Source organism: Homo sapiens, chromosome 7 (genome assembly GCF_000001405.40).
Source record: "Homo sapiens chromosome 7, GRCh38.p14 Primary Assembly".
NCBI classification, from domain to species: Eukaryota; Metazoa; Chordata; class Mammalia; order Primates; family Hominidae; genus Homo; species Homo sapiens.
This window is the reverse complement of record NC_000007.14, coordinates 101553806-101575419: the sequence shown is the minus strand read 5'-3', so window position 1 is coordinate 101575419 and position 21614 is coordinate 101553806. Positions and strand designations below refer to the sequence as shown.

The 21614-nt window shown below is 47.6% G+C and overlaps 1 protein-coding gene and 1 long non-coding RNA gene across 9 annotated transcripts in view, besides 2 other annotated features; one reads left to right on the top strand and one right to left on the bottom strand.

Annotated features, from left to right (window-relative positions):
- Positions 1-6413: 6413 nt before the first annotated feature.
- Positions 6414-12665, top strand: LINC01007 (long intergenic non-protein coding RNA 1007). Of its 3 annotated transcripts, NR_103749.1 has the most exons (3): positions 6414-6570; positions 8787-8934; positions 12333-12665. It is a non-coding gene; the product is annotated as a long intergenic non-protein coding RNA 1007 (long non-coding RNA). The 3 variants fall into 3 exon arrangements; NR_103748.1 differs by lacking the exon at positions 12333-12665 and having other exon boundaries at positions 8787-10114; NR_103747.1 differs by lacking the exon at positions 12333-12665 and having other exon boundaries at positions 7940-10114.
- Positions 9836-10697: an enhancer, noted in NCBI's record as "H3K4me1 hESC enhancer chr7:101208003-101208864 (GRCh37/hg19 assembly coordinates)". NCBI's record gives its function as "activates a minimal SCP1, AML or CMV promoter by ChIP-STARR-seq in primed H9 embryonic stem cells {active_cell/tissue: H9 hESC(primed)}" and the evidence as "EXISTENCE:reporter gene assay evidence [ECO:0000049][PMID:30033119]".
- Positions 10698-11560: an enhancer, noted in NCBI's record as "H3K4me1 hESC enhancer chr7:101207140-101208002 (GRCh37/hg19 assembly coordinates)". NCBI's record gives its function as "activates a minimal SCP1, AML or CMV promoter by ChIP-STARR-seq in naive H9 embryonic stem cells {active_cell/tissue: H9 hESC(naive)}" and the evidence as "EXISTENCE:reporter gene assay evidence [ECO:0000049][PMID:30033119]".
- Positions 16396-21614, bottom strand: part of COL26A1 (collagen type XXVI alpha 1 chain) — a 196637-nt gene continuing 191418 nt past the window's right edge. For all 6 annotated transcript variants that reach the window (XM_017011744.2, NM_001278563.3, XM_017011743.2 and 3 more), the window contains 2 exons: positions 19549-19633; positions 16396-18050 (listed from right to left, as the gene is read on the bottom strand). In XM_017011744.2, the coding sequence (XP_016867233.1) occupies positions 17890-18050; positions 19549-19633 (246 nt within the window). In that variant the 3' untranslated portion in view covers positions 16396-17889. The remainder of the gene's footprint in view (positions 18051-19548; positions 19634-21614) is intronic.

The following is a 21614-nucleotide window of genomic DNA, read 5'->3' as shown; positions in this document are numbered from 1 at the left end:
GAGCTTGAGGAGGCAGTGTCTGATTTACATAGGACATGAGAGACTGGTCAGACCAGGTGTCCCATTTGCATAGTGTGCGAAGAAGCTGGCCATCCCACCCTAATCTTTTGTTATGCAGATGGGGTCTCTACTTGGCCAATGCCATGTTGCCTGCTTTTTTACTACACATGTGGCAACAAAGAAAAGGGAAGAAGGAACCTCCATGTTGAATATACCTAGCTTCCAGGTGTCCCTTTTCTATTGGCACAGCTGTTGGCATTTACCTATGCACGCTTTGAGCTTGCTTATCTATGCTTGAAGCTTGATTTTTCAGGCTGCTTTTTGTTAGAAAAGAAATTATTTGGGGGCTGCTTTTTATTAAAAGGAAACCTTACCTAGTAAGGGAAGAGACCACCCCTCATAATTGTCTTATGCCTAATTTCTGCCTCCAAAGAAAGAAGTAAAAACTGAAAGGCAGAAGTGAAATCCACAGGAAGACAGCCTGGCACCATGCTCTGGGCCTGATAGTTAAAGATCGACCCCGACCTAACCAGTTATGTTATCTATAGATTCCAGACATTGTATGGAAAATCATTGTAAAAATCCCTGTCCTGTTCTGTTTCGTTCTGATTACTGGTACATGCAGCCCCTAGTCACGTACCCCCTGCTTGCTCAATCGATCACAACCCTCTCATGTGGACCCCCTTAGAGTTGTAAGCCCTTAAAAGGGACAGGAATTGCTCACTCAGGGAGCTCAGCTCTTGAGACAGGAGTCTTGCCAATGCCCCCGGCTGAATAAACCCCTTCCTTATTTAACTCAGTGTCTGAGGAGTTTTGTCTGTGGCTCGTCCTGCTACACTAGGATTCTCTTACCCTCACTATCTTCCTAAATAATTTCTTTCTAGCTCCTGTATCTGTTGGAGTGAAGTAGATAAAATAGAGAATAGAAACACAGGCTCATGTGGATTCACTGGCGAATTCTACCAAAAATGCAGAGAATGTTATGGTTTGGATTTGTGTCCCCACCCAAATCTCACGTTGAATTGGAGGAGGGGCCTGATAGGAGGTAACTGGATCATGAGGGCAGATTTCCCCATTGCCGTTCTCATGATATTGAGTGAGTTCTCAACCAGGTGCAGTGGCTCACACCTGTAATCCCAGCACTTTGGGAGGCTGAGACCGGCAGATCACAAGGTCAGGAGATTGAGACCAGCCTGATCAACATGGTGAAACCGTGTCTCTACTAAAAATATAAAAATTAGCTGGGCATGTGCCTGGAATCCCAGCTACTCAGTAGGCTGAGGCAGGAGAATCGCTTGAACCCAGGAGGCGGAGGTTGCAGAGTGAGACTCCGTCTTGAAAAAAAAAAAAAATTGTGTGGCACTTCCTGCTTCCCTCACTCTCTCTCCTGCCACCATGTGAAGAAGGTGCTTGTTTCTCCTTTGCCTTCCATCATGACTATAAGTTTCCTGAGGCCTCCTCCTAGTCATGCTTCCTGGTAAGCCTGTGGAACTGAGAGTCAATTAAACCTCTTCATAAATTACCCAGTCTCAGGTAGTTCTTTATAGCACTGTGAAAATGGACTAACACAAATAATAAACTCAAATTCTTCACAAAACCTCCAGAAAATATGAGCTAATAGAACATTTTCCAACTCATTCTATGATGCCAGTATTACCCTGATAATAAAACTAGACAAAGACATCACCAGAAAGGAAATTTATGAACCAGTATCCATTATGAACATAGATGGAAATCCTCAATAAAATACTGGAAAACCAAATTCAGGAACATATAAGACGATTATGTATCACCACCAGGTGGGATTCATCCCAAGAATGCAAGATTGGTTTAACATCTGAAATCAATCAAAGTAATACACCATATTAATAGAAGAAAGGACAAAACACACAGGACCATCTCAAAATTTGCAGAAAAAGCATTTGATAAAATCTAACACACTGTCATGATAAAAACAAAACAAAACAAAACAATAAACTAAGAATATAAGGGAACCTCTTTAACCTGAAAAAGGGCATCTACAAAAAACCCATAGCTAACATCATATTTAATGGAGAAAGTATGAATGTTTCTACCCTAAAATCAAGAACACAACTAGGATGTCCTCTCTCACTATCTCTATTCAGCATTGTACTAGAGATTCTAGCCAGAGTAATTAGGCAAGAAAAATAAATAAAGCCATCCAGATTGGAAAAAGAGAAATAAAACTATTTCTATTCTCAGATGACAAGAACTTGTATATACAAAATCTTAAAGAATATGTACACACACTATTAGAACTAATAAACAAGTTCAGCAGTTTCAGGATATAAGGTTGGCATACAAAATTCAAGTTTACTTCTATAGACTAGCAATAAACAATCTGAAAATATTTCATTTTATTTTGTTTATTTTTTTTTTTTTTTGGAGACAGGGTCTCACTCTGCTGCCCAGGCTGGAGTGCAGTGGTTCAATCATAGCCCACTGCAGCCTCAAACTCATGAGCTGAAGCAAACCTTGAACCTCATCCTCCCAAGTAGCTAGGACTACCGGCATTTGCCACCTCACCTAGCTAATTTTTAAATTTTTTATGGAGACGGATCTCACTATATTGCCCAGGCTGGTCTGAAACTCCTGGCCTCAAGTGTTCCTCCCATCCTGGCCTCCCAAACTGCTGGGATCACAGGTGTGAGCCACTGTGACCACCTGAAAAAGTTTTAGCAAATCCATTTACAGTGGCATCAAAAAGAAGGAAATACTTAGGATTAAGTTTAACAAAAGTAGTGCAAGACTTTTATGTGGGAACCTATAAAACATTGCTGAAAGTAATTAAATAAAATACATAAATGGAAAGACATCTCATGTTCATGGATTGAAAGAGTTAATATTGTTAAGATAGCAATACTCCCCAAATTGATCAATCGCTATCAAAATTTCAGCTGGCTATTTTGGTAGAAATTGACAAACTAATGCCAAGATTATTATGGAAATACAAGGAACTGGGACTAGCCACAACAATCTTGACAAAGAAAAACAAAAGTTGGAAGATGTATACTTCCTAATTTCAAAACTGCTAAGGTACCATACTCAAGACAATGTCATGCTGGTATAAGAACAAAACATGTAGCTCAATAGAATCTAATTGGAGTCCAGCTATAAACACTTACACTTACGGTCAGCTGATATTCAACAAGGGTGTCAAGACTATTCAATGGGGAAAGAATAGTCTCTTCAAACAAAAGACTGAGACAATTGTATATCCACTTGAAAAAGAATGAAGTTGGATCCCCTATTAGTTTCCTCACTGCCATAACAAATTACTCTAAACCGTGTGGCTTAAGAGCAAAGAAATCTATTGTCACACAGTTCTGGATGCTAGAAGTCCAAAATTAGGGTGTCATAACAGGGCCTTGCTCTCTCTGAAGGTTCTTGGGGAGGATCCTTCCTTGCTTCTTCCTAGCTTCTGGCTTGTATATACTTTGCAATCCTTGGTTTGCAGACACTTTACTCTTATATCTGCCTCCATTGGCACATGGCATTCTTCTTGTGTATCTCTATATCCCTGTACATGGTGTTCTTATAAGGACACCAGTCATTGGATATAGGTCCAATCCTATCTTGTTTACATCTACAAAGACCCTATTTCCAAACAAGGTAATATTTACAGGTATTGGGAGCTGGAACTCTAATATATCTTTTGATGGAGGCGCAATTCCACCCACAGCAGGCTCCTACTTCCCACCATGTAAAAACTATCTCAAAATATATTATAGACCTACATGTAAGAGCTTCAACTACAAAACCTTTAGAAGAAACCATAGGTGTAAATTTTTATGACCTTGGATTAAGCAATGGTTTATTTGATGTGACATCCAAAATGTAAGAAAGAAAAGAAAAATTAGATAAATAGGAGTTTCTCAAAAATAAAACCTTTGTGCTCTAAAGGTACTATCAAAGAGTAAAAAGACAACCCTCAGAATGAGAGAATGGAAGAAAATGTTTACAAATCATATACCTGATAAGGGACTTTTTATCAAGAATATACAAAGAACTGTTACAACTCAACAGTAAAAATGCAAACATACCAATTAGAACTTCAATCCACAAGTTGCCTAATCCAGGGTCACCAAGATTTATATCAATGTTTTCATCCAAGCGTTTTATAGTTTTAGCTCCCACATTTAGGTGTATAATCTATTTTGAGTTCACTTTTTTATATGGTGGGAGGTAGAGGTCTGTTGTGGGCAAAGGATTTTAAGAGACATTTCTTCAAAGATAAACAATGGCCAATAAGTCATGAAAAGATGTTCAGTATTCTTAGTCATTAGGAAAATGCAAACCAAAACAGTGACCTACCACTTCATGTTCACTAATTTGCCTAAAATTTAAAAAGGCAATAACAAGTGTTGATGAGAATATAGAGAGGTTGTGGTCCTCATACATTGATGGTGGAATTGTAAAATGGTGCAGCCACTTTGGAAAATAGTCTGGCAGTGTTTCAAAAAGCTAAACAGAGAGTTACCAAATGGCCCTGCCATTCCACTCTAAGATAGCTATCCATGAAAAGCAAAAACATGTGTCAACACAAAAACGTGTACAAAAATGTACATAGTAGCATTATTCATAATAGTCAAAAAGTAGAAAGAGCCCAAACGTCAATCAACTGAGGAATGGATAAACAAAATCTGGTTTATCTATATGGTAGAATATTATGCAGCCATAAAAATGAATAAAATTTTATTTATTTGTTTTTAACATGGGTGAATCTTTAAAATATGCTAAATGAAAGAAGCCAGACACAAAAGACCACATATTGTATGATTCCATTGATATAACATGTCTAGAATAAGCAAATACTTCCCAGCCGCTGGCAACCACTAATCTACTATCTGTCTGTCTGTCTCTATGAGTTTCCTTGAATGTTTGGTAGAATTCATCACTTAAGCAATCTGAGGCTGGAGTTTTCTTTGTGGGAATGTTTCTAATTATGAATTCAATTTCTTTAGCAGATATAAAAGTATATCAATTTTTTATTTTTTCTTATAATGATTTTAGTACATTGTATTTTTCAATGAATTTATCCATTTCATCTAATTTTTTTTTTTTTTTTGAGACAGAGTCTCACTCTGTCGCCCAGGCTGGAGTGCAGTGGCATGATCTCGGCTCACTGCAAGCTCTGCCTCCTGGGTTCATGCCATTCTCCTGCCTCAGCCTCCCGAGTAGCTGGGACTACAGGGGCCCGCCATCATGCCTGGCTAATTTTTTGTATTTTTAGTAGAGACGGGGTTTCACCATGTTAGCCAGGATGGTCTCGATCTCCTGACCTTGTGATCTGCCCACCTTGGCTTTCCAAAGTGCTGGGATTACAGGTGTGAGCTGCTGCACCCGGCCATTTCATCTAAATTTTTAAATTATTGGCATAAAGCTGTTGACAATATCCTTTTGCTGTATCATGAAAGTCTTGGGGATCTGTAGTGATGTCTCCTGGCATGGCTAATTTATGTTTTCTCATTTCTTTTTCTTGATCCAGCCTGCTAAGTATTTATCAGTTTTATTAATCTTAATCGATGTGTGGCTTTTAAATTTTCTCTATACATTTGCTTTTGATTTTATTCATTTCTGCCATTATCTTTATTATTTCCTTTAGTTTTCCTTCTCCTTTTTCTAAATATGCTGTTTTTTCTTTAGCATCTTGAGATTAAAGCATAGATCATTCATTTTCTACCTTTTTTCTTTTCTAACATATTCATTTAAAGTTGTAAATATTCTTAGAAGAGCTGTGCTAACTGCATCCCACAAATTTTATACGTTACATTTTTATTTCCATGAATTTATAATTTATGTTGTGATTTCTTCTTTGACATATTGAATTATCTAAAAGAATGTGGATTATTTCCAAGGGTTTGGGATATTTTCTATTTTTTTTTGTTATTAGTTTCTAGTTTAATTTCAATGTAGTCAGAAAACATATTTTATTATTTTAATCATTTGAAATTTGTTGAGATTTATTTATGGCTAGGCATATGGTCTATTTTGGAAAATGTTCCATGTACACTTTAAAAGAGCACATATTATGCAATTGGTAGGCGTGTGTTCTATATATTGTCCATTGGGTGAAGCTGGATAACTGTATGCTTCAAATCTTCTATAGTGATCTTTTATTCAAAATGTGCTGCTTATAAACAGCATATAGTTGAGATTTTGAAAATCCAATCTGACCCTCGTCTCTTTGGGCTGTTAATAGCCCTAGCTCATCACATTCTCCCATTCTCCCTTCTGGTTCTTCTGCAGCCCACCCACACCTTTGAAAATAGTCTCCTTGAAATTAAATCTTCCTCAAATTATCCTAAATTAAGTGTACCATGTGTTTCAAATTGCAGCCTCAACTGGCTCACTGCCTTCTTTATCCCAGCCTCCATTGCAGTGAGGTTGGGGGCCATATGACTAGTGCTGCCCAATGGACTGTGAACAGAAATGACAGCATCACTCGCATGGAGACTCCTCCATCTCTGTCTTCCCTGTTGTGACAGTCTCAGAGCCTACGTTCTTTCAATGGCTGGGCTACAAGATGGTGACAGGCTGCCCAACCTGGTAAGTACTTACTTTGTGTGAGTAAGAAGGAAACATTGCAAGGGTTGAAGCACTGAGATTCCGGGATGAATTTGGTATTTCTGAATAGCCAATTTTGCCTTGACTTGGGATCATACCATATGTCTACTTTGGTACCGTAACTATAGCTGTTGATGGATGTTTGCCCTGTTTTGCCTTTTTGCTCCTTTCCTTCCTTCCTTGGTTCTTTCCTTCATTCTTCTTTCTCTCTTTCTTTTCTCTATATTTCCTTGCTTTCTCTCTCTTCCTCTATTTCTTTCTCTATTTTTCTTTCTTTCTCAGTTTAGTTCTCCTGTGTTCCTGTTGATTCCAAGCCCTACAATTTTCTTCCAATGAATTCCTTTTCTGCTTTATCCAGACAGCCAGAGTGGGTTTCTATTGCTGTCAGCTAAGAAACCCAAATGGTATACTATTTTCCGCTTAATATTATGTCATAGACATATTTCCATGCCATTAAGTATTATTCAAAATATTATTTTAATGGCTGCACAATAGTTCATCATATTTATGTATCATAATTTATTTAACCATGCCCACGTGTTTTAGTAAATTATAAACTTCTATTAAATACTTATAATGAATATTATCATATCTACATTTTTGGCTTCAATCCTGGACAGCACCTTAGGATATCTTCGGAGTGAAATTACCAGCTGAATAGTGTGAACATTTTAAAATCTCTTGTGGCATAAACTTAATTTTTTTCCTAGAAATTTTATACCAACTTGTATTTTCACATGTGAGATGAATAGGAATACTCAATTTTACTCCACTCAATGAGATTGAATGCTATAATTATATTTAAACGTTCTTTGATAAGCTATAGGAGAAAATCTCATTGATGTTTTAATGGGCATTTCTTTGATGACCAATGAAGCTGAATATTTAAAAATATTTTATTACATATTTTTATTTCATCTTTTGGGCATTTCTCATTCACTATTTTTCTATTGGACTGTTCATTTTTATTGATTTGTAATTACTTTTTACATATTAGAGGTATTAATCTTTTGTCATATTTCTTGCAACCATTTTATTCTTTTTTGTAGTCTCCCAATAAAATTAACTAAATAATTTTTAAAACAAGGAGATTTAAATTTTATGTATTAAATTCTACCTTAATCTTTGTTATTTTTTCTACTGCTTTTAGGTTTAAAATGTTTCCATGTACCCCCAAGATCAAACATTTGTTTGCTTTTTAATGATTTCCCTTTCTTACATTTAATTCTTTAGGTCCTCTGGAATTTATATTAATGTATGGTGTGAAGGAAAGAGCTAATTTTATTTCCTTCCAAATAGCTAACCAAATGTCCCGGCATCATTTATTGAATAATCCATTTCTTCCCTACAGGTTTGCAACGCCACCTCAGTAAGCTGAGACATGGTAATCGCCATGGCAACGGGGCTGCATTAAAAGCATTGTGCGCACAAAGTGAAAGGCTGCTGCCTGGCAGAGTTCAGTCTGGTCTCACTGCACCTGTTCCCTAATTAAGATGCACCTTTTGGTTTTGTCTTTTGAAAAAAACAAAATGCTCCCTTTATCGCCACGAGGCAAAAGAAAAATTAAGGCCAAGATCCTTTCATGCCCAATATGGGCCTGCCCGGTGGTTGGAGCATGGGGGATCATGGGCAGCAAGTGAGAAAGTGCACAGTGATTTGCTGCTGTTACATCCTGAGAAACTGGAGGGCTGTCATCAAAGTCCTCGAATAGCTGGAGAGTGGGTGTGGGATGGTTACGTTTGAAAATGCAGCTCTGATATAAAAGAAAGCAAAGACTGCACTGTTTTCCCAGCAAGAGCCTAGCTGGAGACTCTAAGCCTAAGATAGAAGCTTCTGCCATCAACAGGCCACAAAACCCATACTTCCTGCTCTATGAGGCTTCTGACCTTGGTTCCCTAGAATCCTCCCTCCTTATCAAGTATCTGTGTCTAGGCCTAGGGGAGACCAGACCGAGGTCTGTCCTTGTCTGCCTACAAGGACAAGGCATTCTACTGCTGTAGACCACTTGTTTATGTGCCCCTAAAATTTGTATGTTAAAGCCTGAATCCCCATTGTGATGACATTTGGAGGTGGGGCCATCGAAAGGTGATTAGGTTTATATGAGTTCATGAGGGTGGGGCCCTCATAATGGTATTAATGTCCTTATAAGAAGAGACACAACAGAGCTTGCTTCCTCTCTCTCTCCCCACCATGTGAAGACACAGCAAGAAGGCGGCCATCTGCAAACCAGAAAGAGAGCCCTCACCAGGAACCGGATCTGCTGGCACCTTGATCTTGGACTTCCTATCCTTTAGAGCTGTGAGAAATGTCGCCCCCAGGTCAATGGGATATTTGTTACAGCACCAGGTACTGCCTGAGAACTCTACCTTTAGGGAGCCTGCGTGCTGGGTCACTGGGGAGACAATGAAGGTGCTTGACACCCAGTTTGAATATTGTGTCACTGCAAAGCTGACTGCTGTTGAAGGATAGCCAGTGAGAGGTCATGGCAAGCCATCAGAAGAAGCAGAAGTCATGAGCATGCTGAAGCTATGAGGCCAAGACAAAATGTCACATTGCCACAAGAAGAGGGACAAACAGGCAACAGGCAGAGCCCATGGGAATCAGTAATCTCCTGCTGACACTGAGGCCTTGGGACTAACTCAGATCCAGTACTACTCTCTTGGGACCTGTTCTGACTCCAGCTCCTGTCCTTGGGGTCCACTGAGATCCCTGTAGCCTTGTAATAAGCCCACATTATCATATTTCCCCTGCCGGCTCCACCCTAGAGCATTTCCAACAATTTCCAGTGCTTTTCCCCTTCTCATACCACTGGGCCTTTGCACGTGCTCGTGCCTCCCCAACTTGCCCTGCCTTCTCCTTCACCCAGACAACTCCTACTAAATCTCTCAGACTCCTCAGCTGTGTCCCTTCCTAGGGGAGGACTCTCTTCCCTCCAGTGAGCCCGGTGGTCCTCCCTGGGATCCCCTGCTCCTTGTCTTCCCTGCCGTCCTTACTGCCATCCTTGTTCTCTACTCAGAAGGAGGCAGAGGCTGGCCTGCCCCCAATCCCCTGTAGACTGACCAGATGAATTGACCTGGGCTGGGCAGGGCAGGCGTGTTTGACCAGTTGTCTGGGCACCCCATGGCTCAGTCAAGTTGACACATAAAGTTCACCGCCCCAGGGCCCCTTCGTTGTATTTGTGTATGAATAAAACACAGCATCCACTCCAGGTATCTGAGGGTCCTGGAGGCAGGTTTTGTGATCCCTTTTTACAGATGAGGATGCGGAGGTCCAGTTGTCACTCACCCAGATCACACTCTCATCTGCTGATGGGAGGAGTATTTGATGGGATGTGTGAGCCCGGCCGTCTCCCTTGGGACACATCAGCTCATTAAATTTGCCAGCCCCTGCCTGAAAAAGTATTTAATTTGCCTTTTACAATGCACCCATTGCAAGTTAATTAACTGGCAATTGAAAGTTATAGGTGGCATTAGAATTTATTAATAACATTGGGAATAAATCTCCCTGGAATTCAATTAACTGAAAACCTCATGAAATTCTTTTTTTATATAATCCATAAAGCCGGTCTGGGAGAGAGGTGTTCCAGAAATCTCGGGGGTGGTGGAAACTGCAGGCGTGGAGGGTTGGAGTGGGGAGGGGGCTGCTGTTCTGATGTAGGCCAGTCTTGGCTCCCACCTGCCCCTGCCCATAACCTCCAACATGGCCTCTTAGGGTCAGGGAAGAAGCCACGCCCCCATCGTGAATGTCCCACCGTGTACCAGTGTCAGGGAAGAAGCCACGCCCCCGTCGTGAATGTCCCGCCTTGTGCCAGTGTCAGGGAAGAAGCCACACCCCCATCGTGAATGTCCTCCATGTGCCAGTGTCAGGGAGGAAGCCACGCCCCCATCGTGAATGTCCTGCTATGTGCCAGTGTCAGGGAAGAAGCCACGCCCCCACCGTGAATGTCCTGCCTTGTGCCAGTGATTCCTTTGCAGTCATTCATCTGCTCTGCACCTGGCCTGAGCTGGGCACGCAGACGTGACCTGGCACACAGGACGCTCACAGCCGACTGGAAGAGACAGAGTTGGGAGGGTGCGCTTTGGATTTAGGGAGGTGACGAGTGAAGCTGGGGGACCCCAATGGCACCTTGACCACCCTTGGCTGAGCCCAAAGCCAGAGTCGGGCTGTTTCTGCCATTCCGGTAGGACAGTTGCCCCTCGTGGGTCTTCAGGACATGCCAGGACCAGGCTAAGAAGAGCGTGCCTTCGTGGGAACCTCTGAGGTTCAGCCCAGCCCGAGCCACCTCCACACTGTGTGTACACACCGTAGCAGATACGAATACCCACACACATACATTCAAGCACACACACGTGCACATATGTGTATACGCACTGGACACGCACACACACATTCTCATGCATGTACACTCTTACACATGCACACACGTGCACATATGTGTACACACAGAACATGCACACACATGAACACACTCATTCTTATGCATGCACACACTTGCATATGCACACGCACATGTATAGCAGGGCCTAGAGCCAGTTGGCATTTCAGAAGAAATGTCAGGTTTGATCTGGACCCCGGGCCACAGAAGGGGGTATGCGCAGGAAACAGCGGCCGGAGGCAGAGGCAGGAAGCGCAGGAGAGCAGAGGAGACTCAGGCAGGAAATTCGAGACAGCCATGTCTGGGCCAGGCAAAGTGGAGACAGGGTGGAGCAGGGCGGGGCGAGGTGAGCAGGGGCCTATGCTAATTCTCCCTCCTTAGTGCCCAGGCAGGTGGCCTCAGACTGGGAGTTCTGGGCACCCAGGCAGTGAGGGCTCTAGCCAGCCTGTCCCCAGATCTGGCCCTCAAAGCTCAGCTGTGAGCCAGGAGGGGACCTGGAGGCTCCTGCCAGGACTGAGCTGACCCTGGTGAGTCCCCTTTCCCCAGGGGCTGTGGAGAGGGAGGAGGGAAGGCAATCTTGGGCAGGGGAGGATGACCACAGTCCAGCCCTGCAGCGTCCTAGCTGGGAGCCTGGGGTGCTTTGCTTCCTACTCCGAGTCTTGGGCCCTGTGGACAGCTTGGAAGTGCAAGCGGCGGTGTCCACACATGCATGCAAGAACCTTCCTGAAGCTGGGCAGAGGATCAGATGGGCCCGCCCTGTCTCCTTGGCTGCAGGGGTGAGAGGAGGTGAAGATTTGAGGGGGTCACACAAGGCCAAGAGCTGGGCTCCCCCTGGGGCTTTGAGGCCCTTCCCCCAACAGCGCTGTCCCATTTCCTGCAGACGCTTAGCACTGCTTTGCGCGGGGGGAGCCAGCCTCCACAGCTGGACAGAGATGAGGCCGGACAATGGGCAGACCTCCTGGCTGACTCCTGGGGCTGCAGCCACTATGTGTGCAGAAGGTGGTCAGGACAGGGACCCAGGTGACAGCACCAGGGGGCAGAGCTCAGGCTTGAGGCCAGGAACAGGGGAGCCACAGCAGATTCATGAGTGAGGGAGGAGCAACGCCAGGCTTGCACTTCAGAAAGGTCATTCTACGGCCAGATGGCAAGGAGAGGCCAGACTGAGACCCTCAGTGGTCAGTTTCCTCTCCCTCCAGCATCACGGTCCTCGGAGATCCCCACCCTGGCAGGTGCTTCAGTGTCCTGGGAGATTCGTTCCACCCCCACCCAAATCTCCTCTGCCCTTTATCCGCCCCCAGCCTTTGCTCACACTTGGCCTCTTCGGCAGCGCCATCCCTGGGTTTATGTGAACTCTCTTTTTTCCTTCCAGAACCGCTTTCTCGGGGGCAGAGCAGAGCATGGCTTCCCAAATCCCACAGACCTGATCTGGAACTCAGCTTCACCGCCAACCGCCTGTGTGACCTTGAGGAAGCTATGTAACCTCTCTGGGGCTCAGCTGACTCACCCCAAAATGAGAGAGGTGGCTGTGACGTTAAAGGAGGTGACATGTTTCACTGTTTAGCACTGGATCTGTCCTCACCATATTAAGGACCAACTCACACCCAGCCCCTTGGGGGAGACCTTCTCCCTCAGCTCTGTCTCAGACCTTCTCTGGGACCCACAGTATCTGCTACCCTGGCTCCATCGAACACACTCCGGGCTGGCCCGTCCACCCTGCTGGCGGGAGCTTGGAAGTTGTTTTTCCCCAAACATTCCTCATACAGCCCTTTCCCTACCCTCCTAGACTCTGCTGGTCCCATCCAGGCTCTCCCATAGCGGGATCCAGGGACCAGAGGAAAAATGAAGGCATCCCATGAGTCTATTTAAAAGTTACACATCGAGGCTGGGTGCGGTGGCTCACACCTGTAATCCCAGCCCTTTGGGAGGCTGAGATGGGTGGATCACCTGAGGTCAGGAGTTCGAGACCAGCCTAGACAACATGGTGAAACCCCGTCCCTACTAAAAATACAGGAAAAAAAAAATAGCTGGGTGTGGCGGCAGGCACCTGTAATCCCAGCTACTCAGGAGGCTGAAGCAAGAGAATTGTTTGAACTGGGAGGCGGAGGTTGCAGTGAGCCGAGATCGTGCCACTGCACTCCAGCCTGGGCGACAGAGAGAGAGAGAGAAAAAAAGTTATACATTGAGCTAACCAGCTGTTAAGTAACACAGGCTCTATCTTCCTACTTTGACAGATATCTTTTTCCAAGGACCTGGAAGGCCAGGTTTGACGTTGGAATTGTGACTGTCAGAGTCTTGTGCTGGAAGGTGACAGCCGGGAGAGCCAGCCCCTGTCATCCTCCAGCCCTTCTGCTTCCCTCACTAGCTTCCACCTTGCACCACGGGGGGCTTCGTGTGCCCACCTGAGGGTGCCCACCTGGAGCGTCTAAGCTCAGTTCACACCCTCCAAACTCAGCAACCCCTTGATTGAAAGACAAAGGTGTCATTGGGCGTGGAGTCTGCCTTTAAGACAAAAGGAAGGGGAAGACCTTGGGGGAAGTGGGGGCAGCCCTGGGGCAGGACGTTTTGGTGTCCTAGGTAATGCAGGCAAATCTCTCTCTTAGGATCCCATCTCTGCCACTGGGTCTGGGGGAATGAATGCCTGCTGGTCTGCTTCCCCAAGGAGGAGAGGAGGTGTTTTTTCACACACACACACAAAATTAAAATAAGTTTTAAAAATTAAAAAATAAGACTAATTGTCAGCTCCCAGTCCTTAGCGCTTCCATATTGCTGATCATCTGGACGTGGCTAGGCTTCTAGCCTATCATCTTATTGGCTTTAAAAATACATACACTTACCACCTATTTTGGTTTTGTTTTGTTTTGTTTTTGAGACGGGGTCTTGCTCTGTTGCCCAGGCTGGAATGCAGTGGTGTGATCTCAGCTCACTGCAGCCTTGACCTCCCAAGCTCAAGTGATCCTCCTGCCTCAGCCTCCAAGTGGCTGGGACAACAGGTGCATGCCACCACATCTGGCTAATTTTTTTTTTTTTAGAGATGGGGTCTCACTATGTTGTCCAGGCTGTTTATTGCCTATTTTGACTTCTTCCCCTTGAAGCGTTGGTTCATTGAGGGCAGAGATTCCTGTCTTTTGTTCATGGAAAGTTCTCAGGGCCTGGCTCAATTAAGGTGATCAATAAAAGATTTGTTACATGAAGGAAAGGAGGAAGGAAGGAAAGATGCGTGGTTTTGTAACTCCTGCCCTGGGAAAAGGAATAAAAGGGGCGAGGACATTTCTCCAGCCTAAACCTACTCACACTCCCTGCCTGGGACAGTTGCCCAGTGGTTCCTGCCAAGGTTTGACTTCAGGCACCTGCCCGACCCCGGGTCTCCCTGTTTGCTGAATGAGCTGTGCCTGCTGGGCCCAGGACCTGTGGCTGGAGGAAGTATCCCAGAGCCAATGGGGCTTGGAAGAAGAGGCTCCGGCTTAAGGAACGTGTTGCCTATTCACCAGCAAATAAAGACAGATGAAGCTCTGGCAGGCCATCTCTCTGTCTCTGTCTCTTGTTTCTCTCTCCCTCTCGCCTCTTGCTCTGTCTCTCTTTTCCCTTCCCTCCCTCTTTCTCTCTTTCTGTTTCCCTGCTCTCCCTGCCCTTTTGGTCTCTGGGTCCTGGACTCTCAGAGCAGCCTGGAATCTCCTTCCTCCACATGATTGCTGTGGTGTTTTTTTATGTTTAATTTTTAGAGACCGGATCTCGCTCTGTTGCCCAGGCTAGAGTGCAATGGCGGAATCATGGCTCACTGCAGCCTCCAACTCCTGGGTTCAAATGATCGTCCCACTTCAGCCTCCCAAGTATCTGGGACTACAGGGACAAGCCACCACCATGCCAGGCTAACTTTAAAAAAAAAAAAAAAAACACTTGTAGCAACAGGGTCTAGCTATGTTGTCCAGGCTGGTCTTGAATTCCTGACCTCAAGCAATCTTCCCACTTTGTCCTCTCTAAGTGCTGGGATTACAGGTGTGATCCACCATGCCTGGCCTGGTGTGGTGTTCAATGCTCACCCTCTCTATAGGATTTCAAGCTCCAGGCAGAGGCAGGCAGGGTTCTGTCTGTAGCTGAGCACTGGGCACTGGACACAGGGTGATATGGTTTGGCTGTGTCCTCACCCAGATCTCATGTTGAATTGTAGCTCCCATAATTCCCATGTGTTGTGGGAGGGACCTGTTGGGAGATAATTTAATCATGGGGGCGGTTCCTCCATACTGTTCTCATGGTAGTGAATAAGTAAGTCTCACGAGATCTGATGGTTTTATAAGGGGAAACCCCTTTTGCTTGGTTCTCATTCTCTCTCTTGCCTGCTGCCATGCAAGACGTGCCTTTCCCCTTCCACCATGATTGTGAAGCCTCCCCAGCCACATGGAACTGTAAGTCCATTAAACATCTTTTTCTTTATAAATTACCATAAATTACCCAGTCTCGGGTATATCTTTATTGGCAGAGTGAGAACAGACATAATACACAGGGCAAGAGCTTAATACCTACAAGGGTCACAGGGTGATTCAGCAGTGGTTTGGGTCTCTGTGTTGTACCTGGGACTTGTCATCAGGGTATATGGGTCTCCCTGGGGTCTCTGATATGTCACTGACCCCAGACCTGGACAGGAGCATGGAGCAGGATCAGGGTTGCTCCTCCAAGAGCCCTGAGGCCGCCCCAACTTAACTCACCTTCTTGCAGAGCTGGGGGCCAGGCCCAGTTTATAGACAGTGTGGTTGGGTGGAGGGGTGAGGTGGCCTCTGAAGGGGCTTCCCTCACCCTCTGGAGGTAAGAAACAGATCTTGACTCTGGAGGTAGGGCTCAGACACAGGACCAAATTGAGGACTAGCCAAAACAGGGACAGAGCGGAAGCATCTTTCCATTGGACACGCCCACCAGTGTGCCATGTCAGTTTGCCATCACCATGGCAACACTCAGGAGCCACTGCCCTTTTCCATGGCAAAGACCTGATGACCCGGAAATAACCACCCTTTCCCTAGAAATTTCTGCATAAACCAGCCCTTAATCTGCATGCAATTAAAAGTAGGTATAAATATGGTGCAGAACTGCCCTGAGCTGCTATTCTCTGCCTGGGGAGAAGCCCTGCTCTGCACGAGCAGTCATGGAGCTGTAGTCCTGCCCCTCCAATAAAGCTGTTTCTCTTGCCTCCAGCTTGCCCTTGAATTCTTTGCTGGGTGAAGCCAAGAGCCCTTGCAGGTTAAGCCCCAATCCGGGGCTTGCCTATCGTGTGTCACTCCCAGCCCCCTCCCTGGAGGTCCTGAGGGCAGAGCTGGACCTCCCTGCCACAGAGGCCCTGTGGTCACCCCGGGCCTGGCTGGAGCTGCTCACAGCTTCCCTGGCACCTGGCCGGTAAGATGCAGACCAGCCTCCTGCAGAGCTGTCACCACACAAACAGACCCACAGTGGGGAGAGCACCTTTATTGTCACATATAATAATAACGCTACAGGCTGGTGGTCCCGCCCGCCTCTGACCACCCCTCCATGAAGACAGAGACTGCCTCTCCAGACCTGCCTCAAGGGCCAGAAGAAGATCCCAGGGCCCAGAGGGACCAGGCCACAGCCAAACAGGAGTACCAAGAGCACTGGAGACAGTCACTCCTGCTGTGAAGACAGAGTGCCCCAGGGTGGCGCCAGCACCTTCAATTCTCTGAGTTTGCTGCCGTGGCTGTGTCCCAGGTCCCAGCCCAGCAAGAGAGGAACACCAGGGCTGAGCTGATCACGGAGACCCTGGCCCCAGAGGCCTTGAGGGCTCCAGTCAGAGCTGTTCTGGGCTGCTAGGGACCTGGTGCCTGCCATGGAGCCTGCCAGGCCCCCAACTCTGGAAGGTGGGAGGCAGGAGCATCTCTTCCCAGCAGGCCTGGGACTCTGTTTCCCTCTCTGCAGCTTGCAAAGGGGACACTGGGCTTGCTGTGTCATGCAAAAGTAGCAAACCTATAGAGTCCACTGAGAGACAAACTCGTGGGGCAGAGGCTGCAAGTCCCACCTCTGATAGACATGCCCATGAAATGCTGCCTCCCCTGGCTCAGGGATGGGATGGACCCAGAGAGAGCGGGTGGGCTCAGCAAGACTGGGAGGCAGTGGCCAGGGATGCCTATCTGGTTTGGTGGACACTTGCACCCCCAATGCTTCTCTCTCAAGGTCCTCAAGTCCGTATGGCTGGCAGTGATTTATTCAGGGTCTCCCTGGCCTCTGAGAGCTGCAGTCCAGGCTGCTCCCCCAGCCAGTGGGGAAGGGGGATGAGGAAGGGAAGCCCCAGGCCCTGCAGGACCCTGCCTACCCCCTCAGGCTGGCTGGCCCAGCCTCCCCGCAGCCCTGCCTGCCTTAAGGAGCCGTTCTGGCCCTGCGCCCTCCCTGTCTGAGTTTTCTCTCGAAGAGGGGAAGCTGGCAGGGTCGAGAGAACATGGCTTCAGGAACTGAGGGTCCTGGGTTCAAATCCTGCCCCTGCCACCCGTGATCTGGTGGCCAAGAGAGGGTTATTTCTACCGTCTGAGCCTCGGTCCCCTTGTGAAGTGGGGATAATAAGCTTACCTCCTAAGGGTTAAATAATGAGACAACGTAACGAAAGTTCCCTGGACAGGGCCAGTTACAGCAGGGACTCAATAAATGATGGGTATTAGGATTATTCTCATTCCCAGCACCCAGCCCACCCAGACCCCGTCTCCAGCCGGGAGTGGGGGTAGGGGAGGGGACAGGCCAGAGGAGGGCTCTGATGAGGGTGTTGGCCCCTCCAGACCCTGCCCCTGGAGACATTATCTGTCCCCAAAGCCCCCCATGTCCTCACAATCATCCATGCCTGGAGCCCAGTTCCCCTGGGGGCATCTTTAGGAAACAGCGGCGGCTCAGGCCTCTGGGGCTGGGTCTCTAGCCAGGACAGGGTGTCCTGGAGCAGTGGGCTCTCACTTCCTGCTGCTGGCCTGGTCCACGCTCTTCTGTCCAGGGTCGGGCCCAAGCAGGGCAGCAAGGACCCCATCGGGTTGGGCGCCACCCCTCTTCATCTTGAGGTTGGCTCTCAGGGCAGCATCCTGGCCAGAACCTCCCTCTGGGGAGGCCAGGGGATCTGGAAGGAGAGCAGGAGGGTGGACTCGAGGTAGAGCCTTAGGAACACTTGGGGGTACATTTGATCATGATATGTGGCCACGGAGAGATGCTCTTGCCCAGCGTGGAGAAGCAAGGCAGCAGCAGGCTTTCAGCCCCTTATGCATTCATTCATTCATGGATCCATGCATCCATCCATTCATTCACTCATTCACCCATCCACCTGTCCATTGACCCATTCATCCATCTGTGTATCCACCCATTCATCCATTCACCCATTCATCCACCCACTCAGTCACTCATTTATCTATGCATCTATCCATTCATTCACTCATTTACCTGCCCGTCCATCCATCCATCCATCCATCCATCCATCCATCCATCCATCCATCCATCCACCCATCCATCCACTCACTTATCCACCCACCCACCTATCCACTCATTGATTCATCTATGCATCTATCCATCCATCCATCCATCCATCCATCCATCCATCCACTCAGTCATTCATTTATCTATGCATCTATCCATTCATTCACTCATTTACCCATCCATCTATCATCCATCCATCCATCCATTCACTCACTTATTCACCCACCTACCTGTCCACTCACCCGCCCATCCACCCATTCATTCATTCATCCATGCATCTATTCACTCATTTACCCACCCACCTGCCCACTTATCCATCCACTCATTTATCCACCCACCTGTTCACTCATCCATCATCCATCCATCCATCCATTCACTCATTCACCCACCCACCTGTCCACTCATCCATCCATCCATCCATTTATCCATCTATCCATCCACCCATTCATTTATTCATCCATGCATCTACCCATCCACTCACTCATCCACCTATCCACCTGTCCATTCAACAATTCATTCATTCATTCATTCATCTATCTATGCATCCACCCATGCATACATTCATCCAGGCAACCAGCCATTCGTTCACTCACTCACTCACCCACCCACCTGTCCATTCACCTATTCATTCATCCATTCATTTTCCAGCAAATGCTGATGGGCCTCTACTCCAGGCCCTGCAGAGGTATCATTCACTGTTCTGCACAAGGGACTCCCAGAGGGTCACAGAAACCCCAGCATGGAATGGAAGCCTCCCCTATGTCACCATAGGGACAAAGAGGAGGGTTCAGAGAAGGCTTCACAGAGGCCGAGATCTTTGAGCAGGTCCCGAAGTGGCAGTCAGTGTTCACCAGGCAGAGGCATGGCCCGAGCAAAGGCATGGAGGTGGGAGGGGCCTCAACATGGCTGGGCAGGGCTCTGCCCACCATGGCTATACTAGGGAGGGGCTGGGAAACTGGGCTGATGCACTTGGAAGTCTGTCAAGGGCAGCAGGGAGCCACTGAGGGTCCTTGAGCAGGGGAGGGGGAGGGTCAGACTAGGGGCAAGGGAGGGAGACCAGAGACCCTAGGCAGCAGCCATGAGGGCAGCATTGGGAGAGGAAGGAGGGGAGAGAGATTCCCAGCCCGCTGATCCTGGTCACTGCTCACCGTGGATCCCAATCATGTGCTCCAGGATGAGGACTCGCTCTGCCAGGATCTTCAGGGCCTCTCTCAGCTGCTGCACCCCCTCGCCCTGGCGGGGAGGAAACAGGCAGGGTCAGGGCCGGCCATGAGGAAGGGGTCAGGGCCATCCTGATACAGTGACAGTGTATGTGTCCTCAAAGCCCCCCACCCCTGCCTCTTCCCACCCGACACCCTCACCACTGCAAATAAGCATAGACTGAACATCATCAACTATGTGCCAGACAGGGCTTCAAACCCTGTTCACAGACAAAGAGCTTGAAACACAGAGAGGGCAGGCAACCTCCCCACGGCCACACAGCCTGGCAAAGCGGCCGATCCAGACTGCAGATCCACACCTGTCAGCCTCCAGCCTGAGCTTTTCCTTCCACCATAGCTGCCTGTCAGCTTCCCCCACATGTCCTGAAAATACCCTAACCAGGACAGAGCACCTATCCCAGGGCCCGAAGGTAGGAAGTTCTTTGCTTGTTTCCTTCCTTGAATGCCCAAGAGCTCGCCACCAAACAGCAGGCAAGGGGCAGGGTAGGTGTGGCCATGCCAGGCAAGAAAGACAGCAGAGAAAGCCACCATTTCAAAGTGCAGGCAGGCAGGCTGGCGTGATGGCAGAGTCTGTATTTCAAGGGCCCGGTCTGCACACAAGCAGAGGACCTTGTGCACAGAGACACCTGAGTCAGCCAAGACAGGGTGCTGACTTATTGAGAAGGCAGGTGTCGAGGCCACTCTGAAAAGTGATGATGAGGAGACAAAGCCACTGTCCCCATCCTGCCCAGCCCTGGGAGTTGGCAGCAGAATGGGTGCCTTTTGCTGGTGTAACATGACAGATCTGTCTTATGTTCAGATTAATTTAGCTTAAAATGAAACAAAAGGAAACCAAAAAGCATCCTACTGGGTTATAGGAGAAAGGTCTGCCCACCAGGGGACCAAAGACAATGGGAAGTTGAGCCAATTACAGGGTCTGGGACAGGGATGTCAGTGTCGTGTCCCCAACTCAGAGAAGGAGCAGGGGAGACCAAGGGACCTGGCTGAGCCTCATGTTCCTAAGCCACAGGTGGTTGGTTTTTTTGTTTTTGTTTTTTGGGGTTTTTTTAGGTTTTAGAGACAAGGTCTTGCTTTGTCACCCAGACTGGAGTACAGTGGCACGATTGTAGTTCACTGCAGCCTCAACCTCCTGGGCTCAAGCAATCCTCCTGCCTCAGCCTCCCAAGTAGCTGGGACTATAAGCACACACTACCACGCCTGTCTCATTACTTTTTTTTTTTTTTTTTTTTTTTAAGAAATGGGGTCTCGCTAGGTTTCCCAGGCTGGTCTTGATCTCATGGGCTCAAGCGATTCTCCTACCTCAGCCTCCCAAAGTGCTGGGATTACAGGCCAGGCAGGTTGCTGTTATGAAATGGAGGGGGTCACAGTCACCTCTCAGAGTACTGCTGTGAGTGACCAGTGTATCAGGCTCATGCCTCAGCCCCTCTTACTACCTCCTGCACCCCTCACAGCGGCCTTGATTCCAGCCTCTTCCCTTTCTCTGGTCTTGCAAGGACTTCCTGAAGGTCCCCTGGACCCGCCCTGGCCCTCCCAGCTGTTTTGCCCACCCAGCTTTGACACACTCAAGGGAAACCCTGCTCAGGCACTTTCGCTTTTAGCTTTCAAGGCCCCCCCTGCCGGCCCCATCTCAGTGGCACCCCCACGCAACAACCTTCTCATTCTCTGGCAATCACTGCTGTCCTCAGCTGTGTCCCTCACTGGGCTGTGAACTTCTCAGGGCAGGGACCCTGTACACCTGGTGGCCCAGCACCTAGCTCAGGGCCAGCTGAGGGGAGGAATTTGACTTTGGACCTCAGATGAGCCCTTCATCCCCTTCATCCACTACCCCAGCTTCAGCCTCCCCTCCTCCTCCCAGAAGCCGCAGGTCCCCACAGCCAAGCCCGTGCCCTGGCTGCCCCCTCCCACTGGCCCCAGCCTCCGCTTGCTCCAATCTTCTCTCCTCAGATTCCCAGTTTGCAAGTCCCTCTTCCTCCATCCATCCTCTACCACATCCA